This window comes from Homo sapiens, chromosome 5, assembly GCF_000001405.40.
Source record: "Homo sapiens chromosome 5, GRCh38.p14 Primary Assembly".
NCBI classification, from domain to species: Eukaryota; Metazoa; Chordata; class Mammalia; order Primates; family Hominidae; genus Homo; species Homo sapiens.
The window spans coordinates 92,623,220-92,642,111 of record NC_000005.10 but is presented as its reverse complement, the minus strand read 5'-3'; the positions used below and the strand labels follow the sequence as shown (position 1 = coordinate 92,642,111).

General features: G+C 35.0%; 1 long non-coding RNA gene across 3 annotated transcripts in view, besides 1 other annotated feature; it reads left to right on the top strand.

Annotated features, from left to right (window-relative positions):
- LOC105379082 (uncharacterized) overlaps positions 1 to 18,892 on the top strand; it is a 135,090-nt gene that overhangs the window by 46,115 nt on the left and 70,083 nt on the right. The window lies entirely within an intron of this gene.
- Positions 5,785 to 7,657: an enhancer, noted in NCBI's record as "VISTA enhancer hs971". NCBI's record gives its function as "enhancer in: neural tube[6/8] | forebrain[6/8] | cranial nerve[6/8]" and the evidence as "EXISTENCE:transgenic organism evidence [ECO:0001131][PMID:17130149]".

Below are 18,892 nucleotides of genomic sequence, written 5' to 3'. Positions count from 1 at the left end.
ATACATTGCATGTTTCCTCTCATATTTTAAATTTTGTATCCAATTACACAAAGAGGCAGATGCAGAATACTTTTATTTTAGGATCAATTATACCATATTGATAAATGAAAATGACATTGCACCTTATTATAATTATTAATAAAACTATTTCTTCAATGGAAAAATTCTGTCATTTTTCTCAAAGGCTCAGGATTTTCCTTACTAAAATACGTCATCAGTCTTTCAGGGAACAACAACAACAAAAACGACAGAGAAATAGTTTACCCTATAACTTTTACCACTCCCTCCTGCCATACCCCTCCCCTCTTGGCGCCAAAGCAAAAACACCAGAAAATTACTTGAACTTGCCAGACAGACTTTGCTGTGATTAATTGTCTCACTAGTGTATGTTCCACACTTCATTTTATGATTAAGATTTCTGACTCAAGAAATTGTCAGCAAAAGACAATCTATCAAAGTTTAAATATCAGCAATAAAACAGTACAAGAGATATTCTGTGACTACTTAGAACTGAAAGTATTTTACTGAAAAAGGTTTGTTTTCTTTGGCAGCCTTCCATGACCTCCTACTGTTGACAAAACTAGCAGCCTGTCCTGTTTGAAGTGTAACTGCACGGCAGAAGCCGTGGCTTCAGAGCACTTACAGGATTTATCTCTAAATTAATATTTTCATCGAACACACTCACGATATACCTTACATAATCTTTAAATTATAGGAAAACGCTAGAAGGAGGTTCTGAAAGTCAGTGGCTGAAGTCATGCCAGAGATTTATGAATCTCTCAAGTCGACATTTCTGACTGACCTACAGCACACCAGGGCTGCTATTTCCTTTTCCTGATTCATGATAAGTGCAACTGCCTCCAAATAAGCCTCCGGAGCCCATTAATGCTCAGTCCAGTTCCTGATGGTAAATATGCACATCTCCAGTCTCACTTTTAATGTTCAGCTGTGATGACATTGCATAGAAAATCAGGTTACAGCCCTTTTGAGTGTATTTTCACTGTAGTGTGGGCACCCCAAAGTCCAGCTTACCTCTGGTTCTAATGAAAGGTACTGCTTTCTCATGTATTTTGCTTATAAAGAATAGCAAAATTGTTTTTCCCTTACAACATGGGTTTTAAGGTCCTGGACTGTGATTGTGATGCTTTCCATTTTTCTGATGTCAGCACCATGGCCAATTAACAAAATTACACAAAGATTGATATGAAGGTAAATATTAAAGGCACAAAAGGGAAGGGAGGGCAGATTATTTAAAATGTCAGAAAAGCCAAGACATTCATCTTCCCTGCTGCAATTTGTTTTTCATTAGTAAAATGTACATTGTTTTCCGCTTAGAAAAGTTATTAGTGGCAACACAGTCTGCATGAAGCTTTGTCTCTTCTGAAATGAAGTCTTTGTTTAGACATCGGTGATGGGGGTTTTGTGCCATTGTCTAATCTGTCAGATTAGATGAGCAAGTGTATTTAGGGGTGCAAAGATGTGCAGCCACACCTGCTGTGCAAAGCTGTGAATTCACAACTCTTCTGACTATTAAAATGTGTTATGCTGGGAGCTCTTTTGTTGTAATGGAACTGTTGGTGGTTGCGTGTTTGAAGTGGCGCAAGTGTCAGGCCTTATCACCATCATAATAATCACTCCAAAAATAACCTCATATTTTGACCATTTAATGTTAATGTGCAGCAAATTAAAGGCTAAGCACCTAATAGGTTTGAGAACACTAAATTGATTTTACACTCAAATTTTCCTAAGCAAAAACAGAAGTCTATTAATGAAATAATATTCATGGTTCAGAGAAACTGTAGTCATTTAAGAGAGTTTTGAAATCATACAGAAAGCAAACAAAGAATGCACACCAAACTATAAAGCCAATATTGTGACAATAAAGTTATCATCAGGAGAATGATATTAACTTCAGTGCTCTTTAAAGAATGCTAATTATCATTTCTTTATTTGTTGATGTTTGTGTTTTTCATATGAATGTACCATGATATTTTAGTCTTCCAACTAAATATTGAATTCTGACTAAATAGAGATAATGGATAATGCTCCTGCTTATCCCTGATTAAACAGGCCACTTTGTTTAAGGCTTCTACTATTTTAATTTGCTAAAATTTAGCTGCTTTTAATATAAAACAAGATATTAACTGCCTCATTTACTAAGTTACCATGCAGTTTCTTAAATGTGCTTTTCTACCTAATTTTTATTTTTGATATTTTCTTGTTTGGAGTTTTGATGTTCTTAAAAGATTTGTTGAGTGTCTAATAAATCTGTAGGAATTTCATCCTATAAGAATGCAAATTCTTGTAAGTTAGTAGAGTGTTTACTATAGAATGGGAAACTATTTTTTTCAATATTAAAAAAAAAAAAAAAAAAGAAAAGAAAAGAATGCTAAACCAAAGAGCCTCTGTTGTCACTTTTAAAACACTAAGCAGCTTGTGGCAGGTTTAATAGACCCTAATCTAGAGAGGCCTTTTTCAAGACCTTAGACCTGTATGGCCTCATTAATTCAAATGGTACGTGACAGTTCAGAGGTATCCTAAACCAGCCATTACCTGCATAAACAGGTTCTGATGCCAGTGTGGCACGTACATTGTCCTCAGATCAGAATTCCTCAGACTCGATAGCTATGATAAGAGAAAACCTCGGAAATACAAGAATTCTTTTTCTGTAAGTACTAATTAAATCTGATCACAAGTTATAGCCAATTCTCTTCCAAAATAGATTTTTAAGTATTTTTAATATTATCCTAGGAGAAAATATTGCAAACTTAACACGAGAAAGATATTGGTTTGAAATATTAAAAGCTATTGGCATCCTTCAACTCTCCAAAAATTGTCATTTTACCAAGACTCAGGCATATGATTAGGTTGTTCTCAGTTGACAATCATCATGATGCTGAGCCCCAGATTTAATATTGTGTAACATCTGGATTGTCCTGCCGATATAGCAGGGTGACAGCTTCACACATTCCTTGAAAAGAGGTGTCCACACACTGACAGTTACTCATCATTCAGAAAATGAAAAAAATAATAAAATGGAAAAAAGATGTTCTTCCTGATCTTAATTTAGGCTAATCTATGTAAAATACATTATCTAATAGCAGCCAGCTATTAGGTAATACCAGAACAGTTTTCTGGCACAATTGCAAATTGCAGCTGTCTGAATTATAGCAAGAAATGTTTACCTGTGATACAAAAGGCAAAAAGTTTTTACTAAAGGCCAAACTTCCTACAAAAAAGAAAATTAAGAATAATTAAAGATTTGGTTTAATTAAATTAATGTTCTACTAATCTTAAATTACTTCTCTTTTTTACCCCTATATAAGTGCCTTATGAAGACATTATATCTGAAAATGTTAAATCTGTAAACCTAATATTTTAATTAAATCAGTGTCAAATTAATTTTTAACCATCACTGGTCTAAAGAAGTCTCCTTGATAAGAGGATTGTTGATCTTAAACCTTTATGAAAAAATAATAAATATTTCTTTTTAAGATGTGCTAAAAATTTTCTCCAAATCATTTATATCCACTTTTGCACTCATTCTCTTCGAAAATATTGTTTTTTTGATCGTTTATATTTTCCTCAGAACTCCATGTCCTTGTTTTTAGCTCCAATTTTGATCTGGATAGGCAAAATACTGATGCTTTTTAAAACTTTCCTACACAGACAACATTTAAGGAAAGGCAGATACACAAAGATTGGTTTCCACATCCTGAAATTAATGAAAGTCACTGTATGCAGTGGGTCCTTAGGAGAAAAAATACGTTATTTTAAGGGCAATATTAAAACAATGTTATGCAGACTTCTTTTGCTCTGCAGTATATCCAGCCCAGCTAAAAAGATTCAGTAGTCTGACTTACATTTTTACGTGCTGGATTAGTCTTTATATTTGTTTTGATAGAAAAGCAGGCAACAGCCTATTTCATGGACAATAAATTCAAGATAGTAATGATGAGATAGTATTGCCTCAGCTAAGTGTGCCCAGATTGGAGGGTCACATATTTGACCTCGATCTAGTATGGTCCTTAATGAATCTATATACTTGATTAGAGTTACTGTCTTTTTATGGCCCAAAATAGCTTTGCATGGAAAACTAGCTCATTTTCAGTAGAGTGGGGAGAATCGTTTTGCTTCCATCACATCCCTAAAACTTTTCCAAAGACTTTTAAGTACCTGCTCTAAAATGTCCACCTTCCAGAAAGCTGTTCTTCTCGTTGCCAATTCTGGTTTTGTTTTACAACCTTCATTACACAGGCAAGACATACCTCTCTGTCACCTTTGAAAAAATTCTGATTTCTTAAATAATCAGCAGAATTAATGAGATGTTGTATTAAAGTGCCAGTCTAGCAGCTATTTCAGAATTTTTCAAAGCTTCCTTGCCTATCCCATTTTATAGAAAAGAATAGAAGAATTGATGTTGGCATGTTATCTTGAGATTTGTATAAATAACAGTAAAAAATCAGTAGTGAGGATTAGAACTTGGAGCCATTACATGTCTTTTCTTTTTATTTTCTTTGCTTCTTTCATTCAATTATTTTTGTTAGTATTCTATCAGCTTCAAAATAACTGAGATTTTTATGGGTTCAAGTCACAGATAGCACCATGAATGTTCCTTTTTGCATGCAATGTGCCCTCTTTATTATGCAATGTGCTTTTACAGTCTCTCTGCTTCCAAGGTGTAGCTCTCTCCTTATCTGTGCAGAAAACTCCATCTATCTGTCTCTCTGCTTCTCCAACTACATCGCTCACTCTTAATTCAAGGAAGTGATTTCTTACTTCTTGTCACTCTCTTTCTTTCTCCCACTCACTCTCAATCTATCAGAATTCGTTTTCTGTTTCTGTGATTACTCTGGCCTCATGTTTCTCTCTCACTCCATTCCTCTTTGAAAAATATGACCAAGAGTTTTCTTTCCTGTTGCTTTTTCTTCTTTAAATGCATCTCTAGGAAACTCTTCTTTTCCCTCTTTATCTTTTCTTTACCTTTTAGGACTTGGAGAGCAGATAAAATTAGACTGTAAAAATACCAATTCTACAGCACTATGTATACTCCTGAAGAAATAAATATTTAGCGGGGGTGGGGGGGTGGTTTCCAAAAGTATTAAATGGTAGGCTTCTATGCTATTTAGCTCATTAATAAATACAGTGAAGGTTTTAAATCCATGATATTTACAGACAAAATGAAGAGCTACTAGGTGTGAGGTACTGTATCTAAAAACCAAAAATTAGAATACAAATAGCCTGGCTCTTTATATTTCCAGCTATGTTTCTTATTGTTGGACTCAGGTTTGAATCCACAAAGACCAAAAGTATTGGAGTTTTAAGTTTCTTAGTGTACCACTTCATACACTTAGAATGCTTTCTTATTGTTACTCCTCCATATCTAAAATGGGTTGGTTAGCTATTTCTTAATATATGATTTTGAGTGGAGGTATTTATTTCTAAATTATAGTGCAGAATAGTTAAGTCATTTTAATAATAATAGGAGTGTCACATGGAATTTAATAGCTAAAGGAGGATATTGTAAAGCATTACTATTTTCCTCAGCACTTTACAATGAATGTAGTATAGGTCAATCAGTTTATCCTAAGTTTTAAAGGTAAAATAAAACACAACTTAAACAGGGTTTAGTGCATCTACTCTAGAACTTCTTTCTTACTGGGATTAAAAATAAGGTAAATTTTAAATGATATATCACCCAAACGAACATTTCATAAATGATCATTTTCACAGATATTTCAATTCCACGTAATTCCAATTTTGAAGGTGAAATGTTAAGTAACTTTGTCAAATGAACTTTGCCTTTAAAAAGGCCAAAAACTATTGGCATAGAGATCTCCAAATATTCATGAAAAACAAACAAACAAACAAACTAGGAAACAAATTTAGGAGAAAAACAGTCCTCACAGTTTAAACTAAATTAAGGACTCTACAGGAAACCCTACCATCTCTGTAATGTAATTTTTATTATCTTTTTACTCAATGAAATAATAACTCATGCACCCTTCCAATAATTACTAAGGGGGAAACCCTGAATGATAGAAATGTAATTCAAAAGGAAATACATTGACTTTCCTTTGCTTCATGTAATTGTCACATAAGTAGGCAATAAGCTATGATGGAGGCAACCTCCATGGCTTATTGTAAGTGAGCTCACATTTCCATAGTCCATTTCCACCTACCCAAATAGATTGAAATATTTAACATGATGGTAAAGCTCAGTTTTTTCCCACCTCTTCTTGACAATAATTCTATAGTTCAATATCCTGTGCATTTTTCCTTGAAGAAGATGAAGCATTATTCTTTTTGAGTGATATTAATCTATTTTGCTATCTTTGCAAGGATACATTAACCAGGCCAAACTCTGAACATGTTTTTTTTTTTTCTTATCATAGAAAAGACAGCCTGATAGCTCATTAAAATATATGAATGAATAATAACTTCTTTCTTTAAATGAACTAATATCTATTTTAATGAGGCTTGGTTTATAGTGATTTGCTGGCTGAAGTGCTCTTCTTTCTGCCTAATTATGTGCACAGCTTTCAGACAACAAGGAGTGTCTTTAACATTAGTTAAGAACCTGGGCTTTTATCTCAATCAATAGTCTTTAGCCTTTGAACTCCTGTCAGTGGAAGACCAGTCCGTCACGTTCAGTTCTACCTGACCTCTTTTTCTTCTTGATGCATGCTGCCATTTACAAAAGAAACACACACACACACGCACATGCACACACACACACTCAAACATGTGCAAACACACCCACACACACACCTAAGGTACAAGCAGGCAAAGTGTTTAGATTATTTGTGTGCCTGTGTGTGTATGTGCACGCGCACAAGCACGCGTGGACAGGACCCTTTATAGCTGTAAAGATGTGTGACTGTAATGATGATGTTAAAATTTTCTTGTTTCCTTTCACTGGGCTTTGTGTATCTCAAAGGAGCCCCATATGGTGCTCTTTGTCCGTGTCATTACCTCGTTACAGCCACTGTCTGCCAGCCAAAGGTAGACCAAGCGCTGCAGCTGTAGACAGCGATACAACTGGAATTGTCTAAGGTCAACAGTGCCGTAATTACTTTAAAATGTCAGCGTACAATAAAATACAACAGTTCATCTGGCAGAAAGCAAATTAGCTTTGACCATAGCGTAATTACCCTTTTCTCAGCACCATTAGAAGAGATCAAATCTCCACATTCAGTGTTTGAGGAAAGGCCATCAGAGTACACTCTACCTGACAAGGATGCACATTTGCCATTTTGAGATGTAATTAATTGTCCCTATAATAGAAATTTTTATATTTGACTCTGGAATTGAAATGTGTAATAACCTGGCTTCTTCATTTTAACCATTTTGATGCTGGAAAAAAATATATGTTTTGCCAAGTACAAATAGGTAGTATCAGTAACACCCAGAACACATTTTACATTTTGATAACAATTAGCTCTACTGCAGGAGTGATTTTTCTGAAGTGACTTGCACACGTACTGACAATGATACTAATGTCTAGATCCTACATCAGAGGAAACAAATTAAGAAATTAACATCATTACACTCTTCCTTTCATAGCTTCTTTTTCTTCTTTGCATGTGTATTTCCTGTCTGGCTGATAACGTAACCCGAACTGTCTTTTAGACTTATTAAATTGATTTCCGCCACCGATCTTCATCTATACCTCTACCTCACACATGAGGGCAATCTGGGCAAAAGAGTAATCCCGCTCCAATCTCCCACAGGATTAATGTGCCATTATGCCAAGAACATCCTCTTTCTTTCAGACACTGATCATTAATGATGAAGGGTACAACTGCACCAATGATACAGTAATTTGATTAACTCAGAAACAAACAGCAAGAAGCTGACCAGTGACAGTCCCTGTAGGGCAAAGTCTTCACTGATTGTTGACTTTCATTAATATTTAAGGGCGCCAAAGATGCTTTAAACTGATTTGAAATGACTTAGGTGTCTGAAGCAGCCTTTCTTCTTGTGCCTGGTTGTAGATACAGATGAAACAGCTGTTTTGTATCAGAAGAGCCTTGCACTGCATTTAGGGAATTCCACCACCATAAAGATGTTTACATTTTCTTGATGTTTCAGTCACTGTGTTGTGGGCTGCTTCATAGTATTTCAAATGAAAGAGTGTTCTCTTGAGTTCAGAAATTTCCCTTTTGAGCACAGATTTCCGGGGGGGAAAACTATCTAGGCAACCAACAAGGAACTTTATAGTTGGTAAGAAAATTCTTAACATGACCCCTTTTTATTGAACCATTGCTAGTTTAAATGTGCTAAAGCCAAAACAACAAACACACTATCTGGCAAAATCACCGTAGCATGTCATTGATCAGTTTATCTCTTCAGAGCAGAAAATTATAGCATATACTGGGCTTGCTCCCCAATCACTGGGTTGCTTTGTTCTTCTTCAATATATGCACAGCTCTTAGATTGTGCCACAATGTAAGAAATAATCATAGCAGAGAAATATTTTAAAAACAAACAAAATGGTCAGATAAAACTCTTCAGTGTAATAGAGGTGAACATTTAGGAAGAAAGGAAAATTCTTTCTTTGAGGTCCATCTAGTCCTAGATTAAATCAAGATGCCTGTAAATAATATATTTAATAGATAATTTGTGGAATTCAGGGAAGTAAATATCACATGGTGAGCTTGGAGGGACCAAGTTGGGCTAATACTTTTAAGTTGGCAAGACTAACCAAACTGGGACTTCTGGCTGCCCCTGAGCATAAATTAATGACTTGCTGTTACTTTGAAAAAGAAGTAATTTTCTTTCACCCACTAATTCTTGGAAGAGCCCTTGGCAGGCCAGTCACACATCATCTGAAACAGTCTGAAGCTTGCATTAGCCCAGAGTTTAAGGATTTTTACAATCTTATCTAAATTCACCTTTACTCTTACCTTTTCCCAATCCAAACTCTGTATTCCAGCTGAACTAACCTTCCCACAAGCCATGCCCCTCCAGGTAACAATGGGTCTTTCCACCTCATTGCCCCAATGCCTTTTCTTCTGCTTACTACCTCTCCATGATTTTTATATTATACTTATTTTTTCTCACTAGCATGTCTATAATGCAGCTGTCCTTTTCCATTTCACAATTATTTTCTTCTGAATATCTAAAAATTTTATCATCTGTTAAAATAATCCAGCAAGTAGATTGTTTTAGTTTTTAGATAATCTTCCTTTTATTTCATTTGCATAAATCTTGTTTTAATAACAAAAAATATTTTTTCATAATGTCAGGAATTATACATTATGATATTACTTGTTGTTGCTTTCATCACTGGTCTGCCTTGACATAATAGAATTTGGAAAATTCCACTTTCATGTGGAATGTAAAATAGTTGAACTCATGTAAGTAGAAAGTAGAATGGTGGTTACCCGAGTTGGAAGGGATGAAAGTAAGGAGCCATCCATCAAAGGAAACAAAATTTGAATTATACAGGAGGAATAAGTTTTTGAGATTTATTGCATAGCATGATGACCACACTATAGTTAATAATAATGTATGTTAATGTGTCCAGAATTGGTGGGTTCTTGGTCTCACTGACTTCAAGAATGAAGCCACAGACCCTCGCGGTGAGTGTTACACCTCTTAAGGTGGCGCCGTCTGGAGTTTGTTCCTTCTGATGTTCCTATGTGCTCGGAGTTTCTTCTTTCTGGTGGGTTCGTGGTCTCGCTGGCTCAGGAGTGAAGCTGCAGACCTTCGCGGTGAGGGTTACAGCTCATAAAAGCAGTGTGGACACAAAGAGTGAGCAGTAGCAAGATTTATTGCAAAGAGCAAAAGAATAAAGCCTCCACAGTGTGGAAGGGGACCCCAGCGGGTTGCCACTGCTGGCTCTGTCAGCCTGCTTTTATTCTCTTATCTGGCCCCACCCACATCCTGCTGATTGGTAGAGCCGAGTGGTCTGTTTTGACAGGGCGCTGATTGGTGCATTTACAATCCCTGAGCTAGACACAAAGGTTCTCCAGGTCCCCACCAGATTAGCTAGATACAGAGTGTCGATTGGTGCATTCACAAACCCTGAGCTAGACACAGGGTGCTGATTGGTGTATTTACAAACCTTGAGCTAGATACAGAGTGCCGATTGGTGTATTTACAGTCCCTGAGCTGGACATAAAGGTTCTCCAAGGCCCCACCAGAGTAGCTAGATACTGAGTGTTGATTGGTGCATTCACAAACCCTGAGCTAGACACAGGGTGCTGATTGGTGTGTTTACAAACCTTGAACTAGATACGTAGTGCCGATTTGTGTATTTACAATCCCTGGGCTAGACATAAAGGTTCTCTACCTCCCCACCAGACTCAGGAGCCCAGCTGGCTTCACCCAGTGGATCCCACACTGGGGCTGCAGGTGGAGCTGCCTGCCAGTCCCTCGCCGTGGGCCCATACTCCTCAGCCCTTGGGTGGTCGATGGGACTGGGCACCGTGGAGCAGGGGGCGGCGCTCATCGGGGAGGCTCCTGCCGCACAGGAGCCCATGGAGGGGGTGGGAGGCTCAGGCATGGCAGGCTGCAGGTCCCGAGCCCTGCCCCGCCGGAAGGCAGCTAAGAACCGGTGAGAAATCGAGCGCAGCGCCGGTGGGCTGGCACTGCTGGGGGACCCAGTACACCCTCCGCAGCCACTGGCCCGGGTGCTAAGCCCCCATTGCCCGGGGCGGCAGGGCCGGCCGGCTGCTCCGAGTGCGGCACCCGCCAAGCCCACGCCCACCCGGAACTCCAGCTGGCCCGCAAGCGCCGGGCGCAGCCGCGGTTCCCGCTCGCGCCTCTCCCTCCACACCTCCCTGCAAGCTGAGGGAGCCCGCTCCGGCTGGCCTTGGCCAGCCCAGAAAGGGGTTCCCATGGTGCAACGGTGGGCTGAAGGGCTCCTCAAGTGCCGCCAAAGTGGGAGCCCAGGCAGATGAGGCACCTAGAGCCAGCGAGGGCTGTGAGGACTGCCAGCACGCTGTCACCTCTCATTAAGGTATCTCATATTTCAAAATGGCTAAGATAGTAAATTTCAAATGCTTTCACCACAAAAAATAAGTAGGTGAGGTAATGGGTATGTTAATTAGCTTGCTTTAATTATTCCATATTGTGTAGCTATATCATAATACCATGTTGTACCCATAAATACATGCAATAATAATTTGTCAGTTAAAAATAAATACATAAGAAGTTTAGAAAATTTAGAAAAAAATAAAGGTATCAGTCCCTATACAAAATTAGTGAATATGTATTACATATGTTGAAAACAATTACGAAAAAACAAGATGTGACAGTCTTACACCCACTTTCTCAAGTTCAATTTTTTTCCTTTAATTCAGTGGTATAAAATAAATAACTCAAAGTGAAAATGTTGTCTACAAATACTACAAATGACACTAAAACAAAGAAACTGTAAATCGAGGGCTAATATAGGTTGCTGTGTTAATATACTTAGTGTCTGGATAAAATAAAAGCAATTCATAGGGAAATCACAAAATAAATTGATCAAAAGATATTGTAAAGACAGGATAGAGATAAATCTTGCAAAAAAAAGATCAATATTATGTGCGACAGTTAAGAGTTAACATATTTCTTACAGAATTCAGCCTGCATTACAGAAAGGCAAAGAAGCTGAATAGAAAACAATATACATCAGTTTTTTATAATAAACTTAGCATCCATTTTATTTAATACTTCCTTTACGTTAGTAACCCAAATAGTTGAAGTTCTATTTTTATCATAAAATATTTGTTAAAACTATCACCTCCCTTGACTTTTTCCTTTAAATACTGACATCTAAAAGCATTTGTTTTTTAAGTAATTGAAGTCATTAAGTCTGTTTTCATTTAAACTTTGAGTGAAATTGGACATGCAAGGCCGAGTACTGGGCTTCAGATTAAAAAATAAAGATAGGTATCATGAGAGAGTCAGGTTGTTGTAATCTATATATATTTATCTTTTAATTATTTCCACAAAACCCCTTATTTTGAAGCTAAGTAATTCTACAAGAAATGCCTAGAAATTTTAATAGCTTTAGGAGTCAATTTATTCACTACTCTCCAAGATAACTATTTCATATCTTTACTACTCTTGTTAAACCTCAAGACCTCCACTTCCTCTAATTCTCAGCTGATGACCTGGCTTTTATTCCACTGACAAACACAAAACAAAACAAATAAAATGGGACTTCTGTCTCTGGCCAAGATGAAATAATGGAGACCAGCTTTACTTTCCAGACCCAAATAACTAAGAAACAGGCAAAATATATTTTTTAAAAAATTTCAAAAGAATGTAATGAATCTAGCAGCACAGGACAGTGAGAAACTGGAAATCAGTGAGGTAAGCCCTACTATTGACACAGTTTACTGCCTTGAGAGATGGCTGGACTGCTACAGGGAGAGAAAACACAAGGGAATCCAGGCAGAAACCAGCATACTCCCTGCATTGAGCACACAGAGCTGAGAGTCTGGAGAGATTAAGGTAGGTAGATTTTCCAGGCTGAAGTTCCAGAAAAAAAGCGATCTGCATGAAGAGAGAGCCCCAGAGAGCTACAAAAAATATCCAGTATCAATGATGAGAACTTGCATGTGAAGAAACAACCCAAGGCCAGAGAAAGAATCAAACAGAAGGGATTGAAGGAAACCATGCCAAGGATCACACACCTTTGAGAATAATGCCCGATTCCACCAGCTAGACTGGAAAAACTCAAAATTCATGGGACACTCCAAAGATGACTCAGGAAGGTCTCGATTCAGTAGTGAGGAATAATTAGCCCTAGACTAAGCACTGTTCTATATCTGCCTTAAAAATTGTAATAGAATATCTAAAAGGATCAAATTGTTTCCAAGTAACATAATTTTATTCCAATGTAAAACTCATGAATACTTATAGGAATACAAAATATTCAGCATGCAACAAGATAAAACGAACAATGTCTAGCATCCAGTAAAAGATTACAAGGCATACAAAGAAGCAGGAAAGCAAAATAAATAATGAATAATCAATTTATCAAAACTGACCCAGAACTGACATAGACATTAGAATGGCAGACAAAAATATTTAAACAGTTATTGTGATTATTTTATAAGTTTAAGAAAGTTAAGGGGAGACATGAAGTGTATAAAATGACCGTTAACCAAACAAGACACCCAAACCAAACTTTTATGAATGAAAGCTAAAATATCTGACATAAAAATTATAGTAGATGAGATTAGTGGCAGATCAGACTTTGTAGAAGTTAGAGTTAGTGAAATTGAATAAAAAATAGCAACAGAAACTATCCAAAAGGAAACATACAGAAGAAAACAGTTTTTAAAACTGAAAATGACTTCTGAAAGCTGCGAGACAACTTTAAGTGAGAAAATAAACATGCAATTTGAAACCTTAAAGATGAGTGGGTGGGAGATATTTGAAGATGTTGTGGCTGAAAATTTTTCCAATTTTATGGAAACTGTAAACCTACAGATCTAAAAAGTTTAATGAACCCCGAGCACAAGAAAAGAAATGTAAAGAAAATTATACCAACAAACATCATTAAAAAATTGATCAAAACCAGTGAGAAAGAGAAAATCATAAATGCAGTCAGATAAAAAGACATATTACCAACAAAGGAACAAAGAATAGGATGACAGCAGATTTTTTGTTGTTGTTGGAAATAATGCAAGCAAGAAGCCAGAAAAGCACTATTTTCTAATTACTGAAGGAAAAAAAAATTCTGACAACCTAAAATTTTAGACACAGTGAAAATACATTTTCAAAACAAAAGTAAAATAAAAAATCTCAGATGAACAAAGCTAAAAGCATTCGTCAGCAACATACTTGCACTCCAAAATAGTAAAGGAAGCCCTTCAGGAAGTAAGAAAATAATACCAGATTGAAATAAGGGTCTACACAAAGGAATGAAGAATATAGACAATTTTAACTACATAAGTAAATATGTAAGTTTTTTTTCCTCTTAAGATTTTTCTTATATTTCTTACATGTCTCATTTTAAAGGTAATGACTGATTAAACAAAAATAACAATGTATTTTGGGGTATATGGCATCTAAGTGCAACATATATAACAATAAAAGTATGAAGGTCAGAAGGGGAGAAATGGAAGTACACTGCTGCAAGGTTCTTATACTATATGTAAAGTGACAATATATCATTTGAAGGTAAACTGTAATAAATTAAATATGTATACTCTAAAACCTAAATCAACCATTAAAATAAAAAAACAAGAAGTCACGAAAAATAACCCAACAAAGGAGATTAAATAGTCATAAAAATATTCAATTAATCTAAAATAATGCAGAATGGAAAATCTGTATTTTACTAGTCATAATAAATACAACTAAAGTGACTATATTAATATCAAAGTGGATTTCAGAACAAATGATATTCTAATGATAATAAAATAGGTCCTTTCATAATGATAAAAGAAAATTAATCAAGATGATAGAAGAATCTTAAAATTTTCTGCATTTAATAACAGAACATTAAACACATGAATTAAAAATGTAGCTGTAAGGTGAAATCAGTAAATCCACAATTACAGTCAGATTTCAGTCTCACTCTTGCAATGTCTGATAGGACAGACTGACAGAAAATCGACAAGGAGATAATAATTTGAACAATATTATCAACCAATATGACCTAATTGACTTCATAAAACATCCCATCTGAAAAAACAGTATGTACTTTCTTCTCATGTGCCCATAGAACACTTATCAAGACAGATGATATACTGGACCATAAAACAAGTCTCAACAAATTCAGAAGGATTTCATTCATAAAAAGTTTGTTCTCAAACCACAAAGGAATTACCTTTCAAATCAATGACAATACAATTTCAGAAAACTCTCCAAATATTTGGAAACTAAATAGCACACTTCTAAATAAAGTATGAATCAAAGAAGAAATCCAAATGGAGATTAGAAAGTATTATTTAAATGAATGAAAACACAACATGTCAGAATTTGTAGGAAGCAGCTAAAGCAGTTCTTAGGGAAAATTTACAGCACAAATTTTCACATAGAAAGTCAAATTAGTCACTTAGACTTCCAACTTAAAAAACTAGAAAAAAGAACAAACTCCACAAAGTAATTAGAAAAATAGATAATAAAGATGAAAGAAAAAAACTGAGAGACATTAGAAAAAATCAGTGCAACCAAAATGTGTTTATTTTAAGAAAAAAGTAAACCTCTTGTTAGGTTGTTCAGAGAAAGTAAAAAATAGAGAAGAAACAAATTGTCACTGCCAAGAATGAGAAAGATGACACTATAGATTTTAAAGGCATTAAAAGGAAAATGAAATAATGTAGTGACCAAATTTATTCCTATAAATTAAAAAAATAGATGAAATAGACAAATTACATGAAAGAAGTAGTACTTAGGCTCACTTAGTAACAAATAGCTTTAATAGCTCTCTATTTATTAAAGAAATTTAAATTGTGTCTTAAAATTTTTCAAAAATGAAACTCAAGACCCAGATGATTTCACTGGTAAATTCTACCCGAAAGAAAAAAATACTAATTAGGCAGAAAATAATATAGAAAATTAAAAAGGAGAGAATGCTTTCCAAAATTGCTCTGCTATAAAAACCAAAAACATAACAAGAAAGGAAAATTATAGACCAAGATTTCTCATGAATATAAATATTCTAAACATAATTTCAACATACATCCAACAATATATTAAAAAGATAATACATCATAATCAAGTGGGGTTTATCCAAGGAACATAGAATTGATTTATTATTTAAATACTAAATAATACAATTCACTATATTAACAAACTAACAAGAAAAAGTAATAATAATCTCAATAGATGAAGAAAAAGCAGTTGACAAAATTCAATATTCACTTATAAAAAACAAACCAACAAACAAACTCTTCACACACTAGGATTGAAAGGGAACTTCTTCAACCCGGCAAAGGGCATCTTTAAACTTATAGCTAACAACTTATTTCATGGTGAAAGACTAAATACTTTCCTTATAAGAACAAGAGATGTATCTCCATGCACCCCTTCTACTCAACATTTTCTGGAAGTGCTAGACAGTGAAGTCAGGCAAGAAAAATAGAAGGTGTTAAGATTGGAATAGAAGTAAAATTGCTGTTATCTATAGATGTCATGAGCATCAAAGTAGAAAATTCAATGAAAACTAAAAAAAAAAAATGCTACAAGTACTAGTGAGTTTGACAACACAGTCCATATACTTTGCTCACATATAGAAATGTAATTGATTTTGTGAGATTTGTAAAATAAAACTATAAAACATTTCTGAGAGATTATAAAGAATGCCTAAAAGAATGGAAATATTTAAATTGTTATAGATTGGAAGATTCAATATTGTTTATACATAAATTATTTCCAAATTATCTATAGATTCAATGCAATCCCAATAAAAATACTAGCAGATTTTTTTTGTAAAACTGGTAAGATTATTCTAAAATCATATGGAAGTGCAAAGGACCTAGAATTGCCAAAGTTACTGAAAAAGATAAACAAAAAGTTGTGTGGCTAACACTACGTAATCTCAAAAAAATCCTTTTGATCATCTGTTAGCCCAAAATTCCATAGATATGACGTTAAAAATACGACACATGAAATAATACTTTGATGAATTAGACTTAAATTTTAAAACATCTGCTTTTTAAAAAAACACTGTTAAGACAATGAAAAGACAAGCCACAGACTGAGAGAACATTATTGCAAGTAATATATCCAGTGAAGGACTTGCATCCAGAATATATAAAAAATTCTAAAAACTCAATAGTAAGGAAAGAAATCATTCATTTTTTAAAATATGGGCAAAATATTTGAACTTTACCAAATAGGTAGATTAAAAAGATATATGCTCAATATTATCAATCATTAGGGAAATGCAAATTAAAACCAAAATTAAAAAACACTACAAACCCATTAGTATAACTAAAATCAACAAACGTGATCATACCAATCATTGGGGAGAATGTTGAGGAACTGAAACTCTCATATACTGCTGATGGAAATATAAAAATGGCATAACCGTTTTGGAAAACAGTTTGTTCATTTCTTTAAATGTTAAAATACATCTATCATCTGATTTATCTAGTCCACTTCTAAGTGACGAGATAAATTTTTCCAGGAGAGAAAAATTAGTATACAGGTATACAAAGATTTATATAGGGACGTTTATAGTAGCTTTATTTGTACTAGTAAAAAACTGGAAACAATCCAAACATCTATCAACAAGTGATTAGGTAAACAAATATGTTATATCCATACAGCGGAATATTACTAAGCAATATAAAGGAATGAACTATAGATATATACAACAACATGGATGATTTTTCAGAAGAACTATGCTGAGAGCAAGAAGCCAGACAAATCATATATTTACCGTATGGTTCTATTTGTACAGAACTCTAGAAAATACAAAATAATTTATAGTGACAGAAATTTGATCAGTGGCTGACTGGGGAGAATAAAGATGGAGGCACAGAAGTGCAGGGAGAGATTATAAAGGGTCATAAGTAAACTTGTGGGAGTGATAGATTTATTCACAGTCTTGATTTTCGTGATGGCTTCACTGAGGAATGCATTTGCCAAAACATAACAAATAGTACACTTATATGTAGTGTGTAGTGTAGTATATGTGTAGAGTATCCCAACTATATGCCAACTATACCTTACTAACTGCGGAAAAAAATAGAAACAATTATAAGAGAAATAAATCACCTTTTCACCATGGAATAAATCAGACTACCTGCATCTTTACCTGATACTCAGTCTACTCTTCCCTTACTATGGATGAACTGCTCTGCTGCTATCTGTGGCTACTCTCTCATATTTGTTTACCTATCCCTCTCCACCTAATCAAGGTAATCATTCTTGTAATTTTTTCCTCTATTTCACCAATTTTCTCTTTCTACTGAAGTACTCTATTTGCATACAAACATTCTCTGATAGCTCCCATACTATAAAATAAACCCCTTTGACCCCACATCTATCTATTTTGTTGTTCCTTTTTTTTTTTTTCAACAAAACAGCTTAAGGAGTTCTTATTTTCCCCCATTTTCTTACTTTCTCTAGCCCATATGAATCAGAGTTTAACACCCACTACTCCACTGACACAGCACTTTCTAGGGGCATTATCAGTTCCCATCATGCCAATCCAGGGTTCAGCTCTGTGTTTTCAAGCTAATTCATTTCTGAGCAGCTAATAATGTAGTTAATATCTTTTCCTTCTTGAAACACTTTCTTCAGTTGGCGTCCCTTGTTATCCTTCAACCTCACTGAAACTTGTCATTCTCTTTTGCTGACTCCTTTTCTTCTTCTAAACCTCTAAATGTTGCAATTCCCTAACATGTAGATATTAACCGTAATTCTAATTATACTCTCTCTGAGTGATTTCATCCAGTCCCAATGTTTTAAACATCATCTATTTGCTGGTGACTCCCAAATGGGTACTTTCAGCTGTCACCTCTTCCCTGAGCTTCAGACTCATTAATTGAACTTTGAGATTTAATAATCTGTTTAGACTAACAAATCCAAAACAAATTCTTAGCTTTATGACTCCTAAAGTCATCCTGTTCTTTGACTCCATGATACTATCACCTTTCATCCAGTTGCTCAGGCCAAATCCTAGAAGTCATTTTTGATTTCTCTGTTTTGGTCAAATTTGATCCTTCTTCAAATTATTTCAACAGTACTTTCCAAATATATCCCAAATACAATTATTTTTCAGTTTCCAGCACTAGCACCCTAGTTTCATAGTTTGTTATCTCTCACTTGGATTATGATGGTTTCCTAACTAGTCTCCTTATTTTTTCTTCTGTCCCAATACTGCCAATTAGAGAGATCATTTTTAATAAGGTAAATCATATCATGTTTCTTCCCTGCTTAGAGCATCTCATAGCTTCCTGCTTATCTTAGAATAAAATTAAGCCTC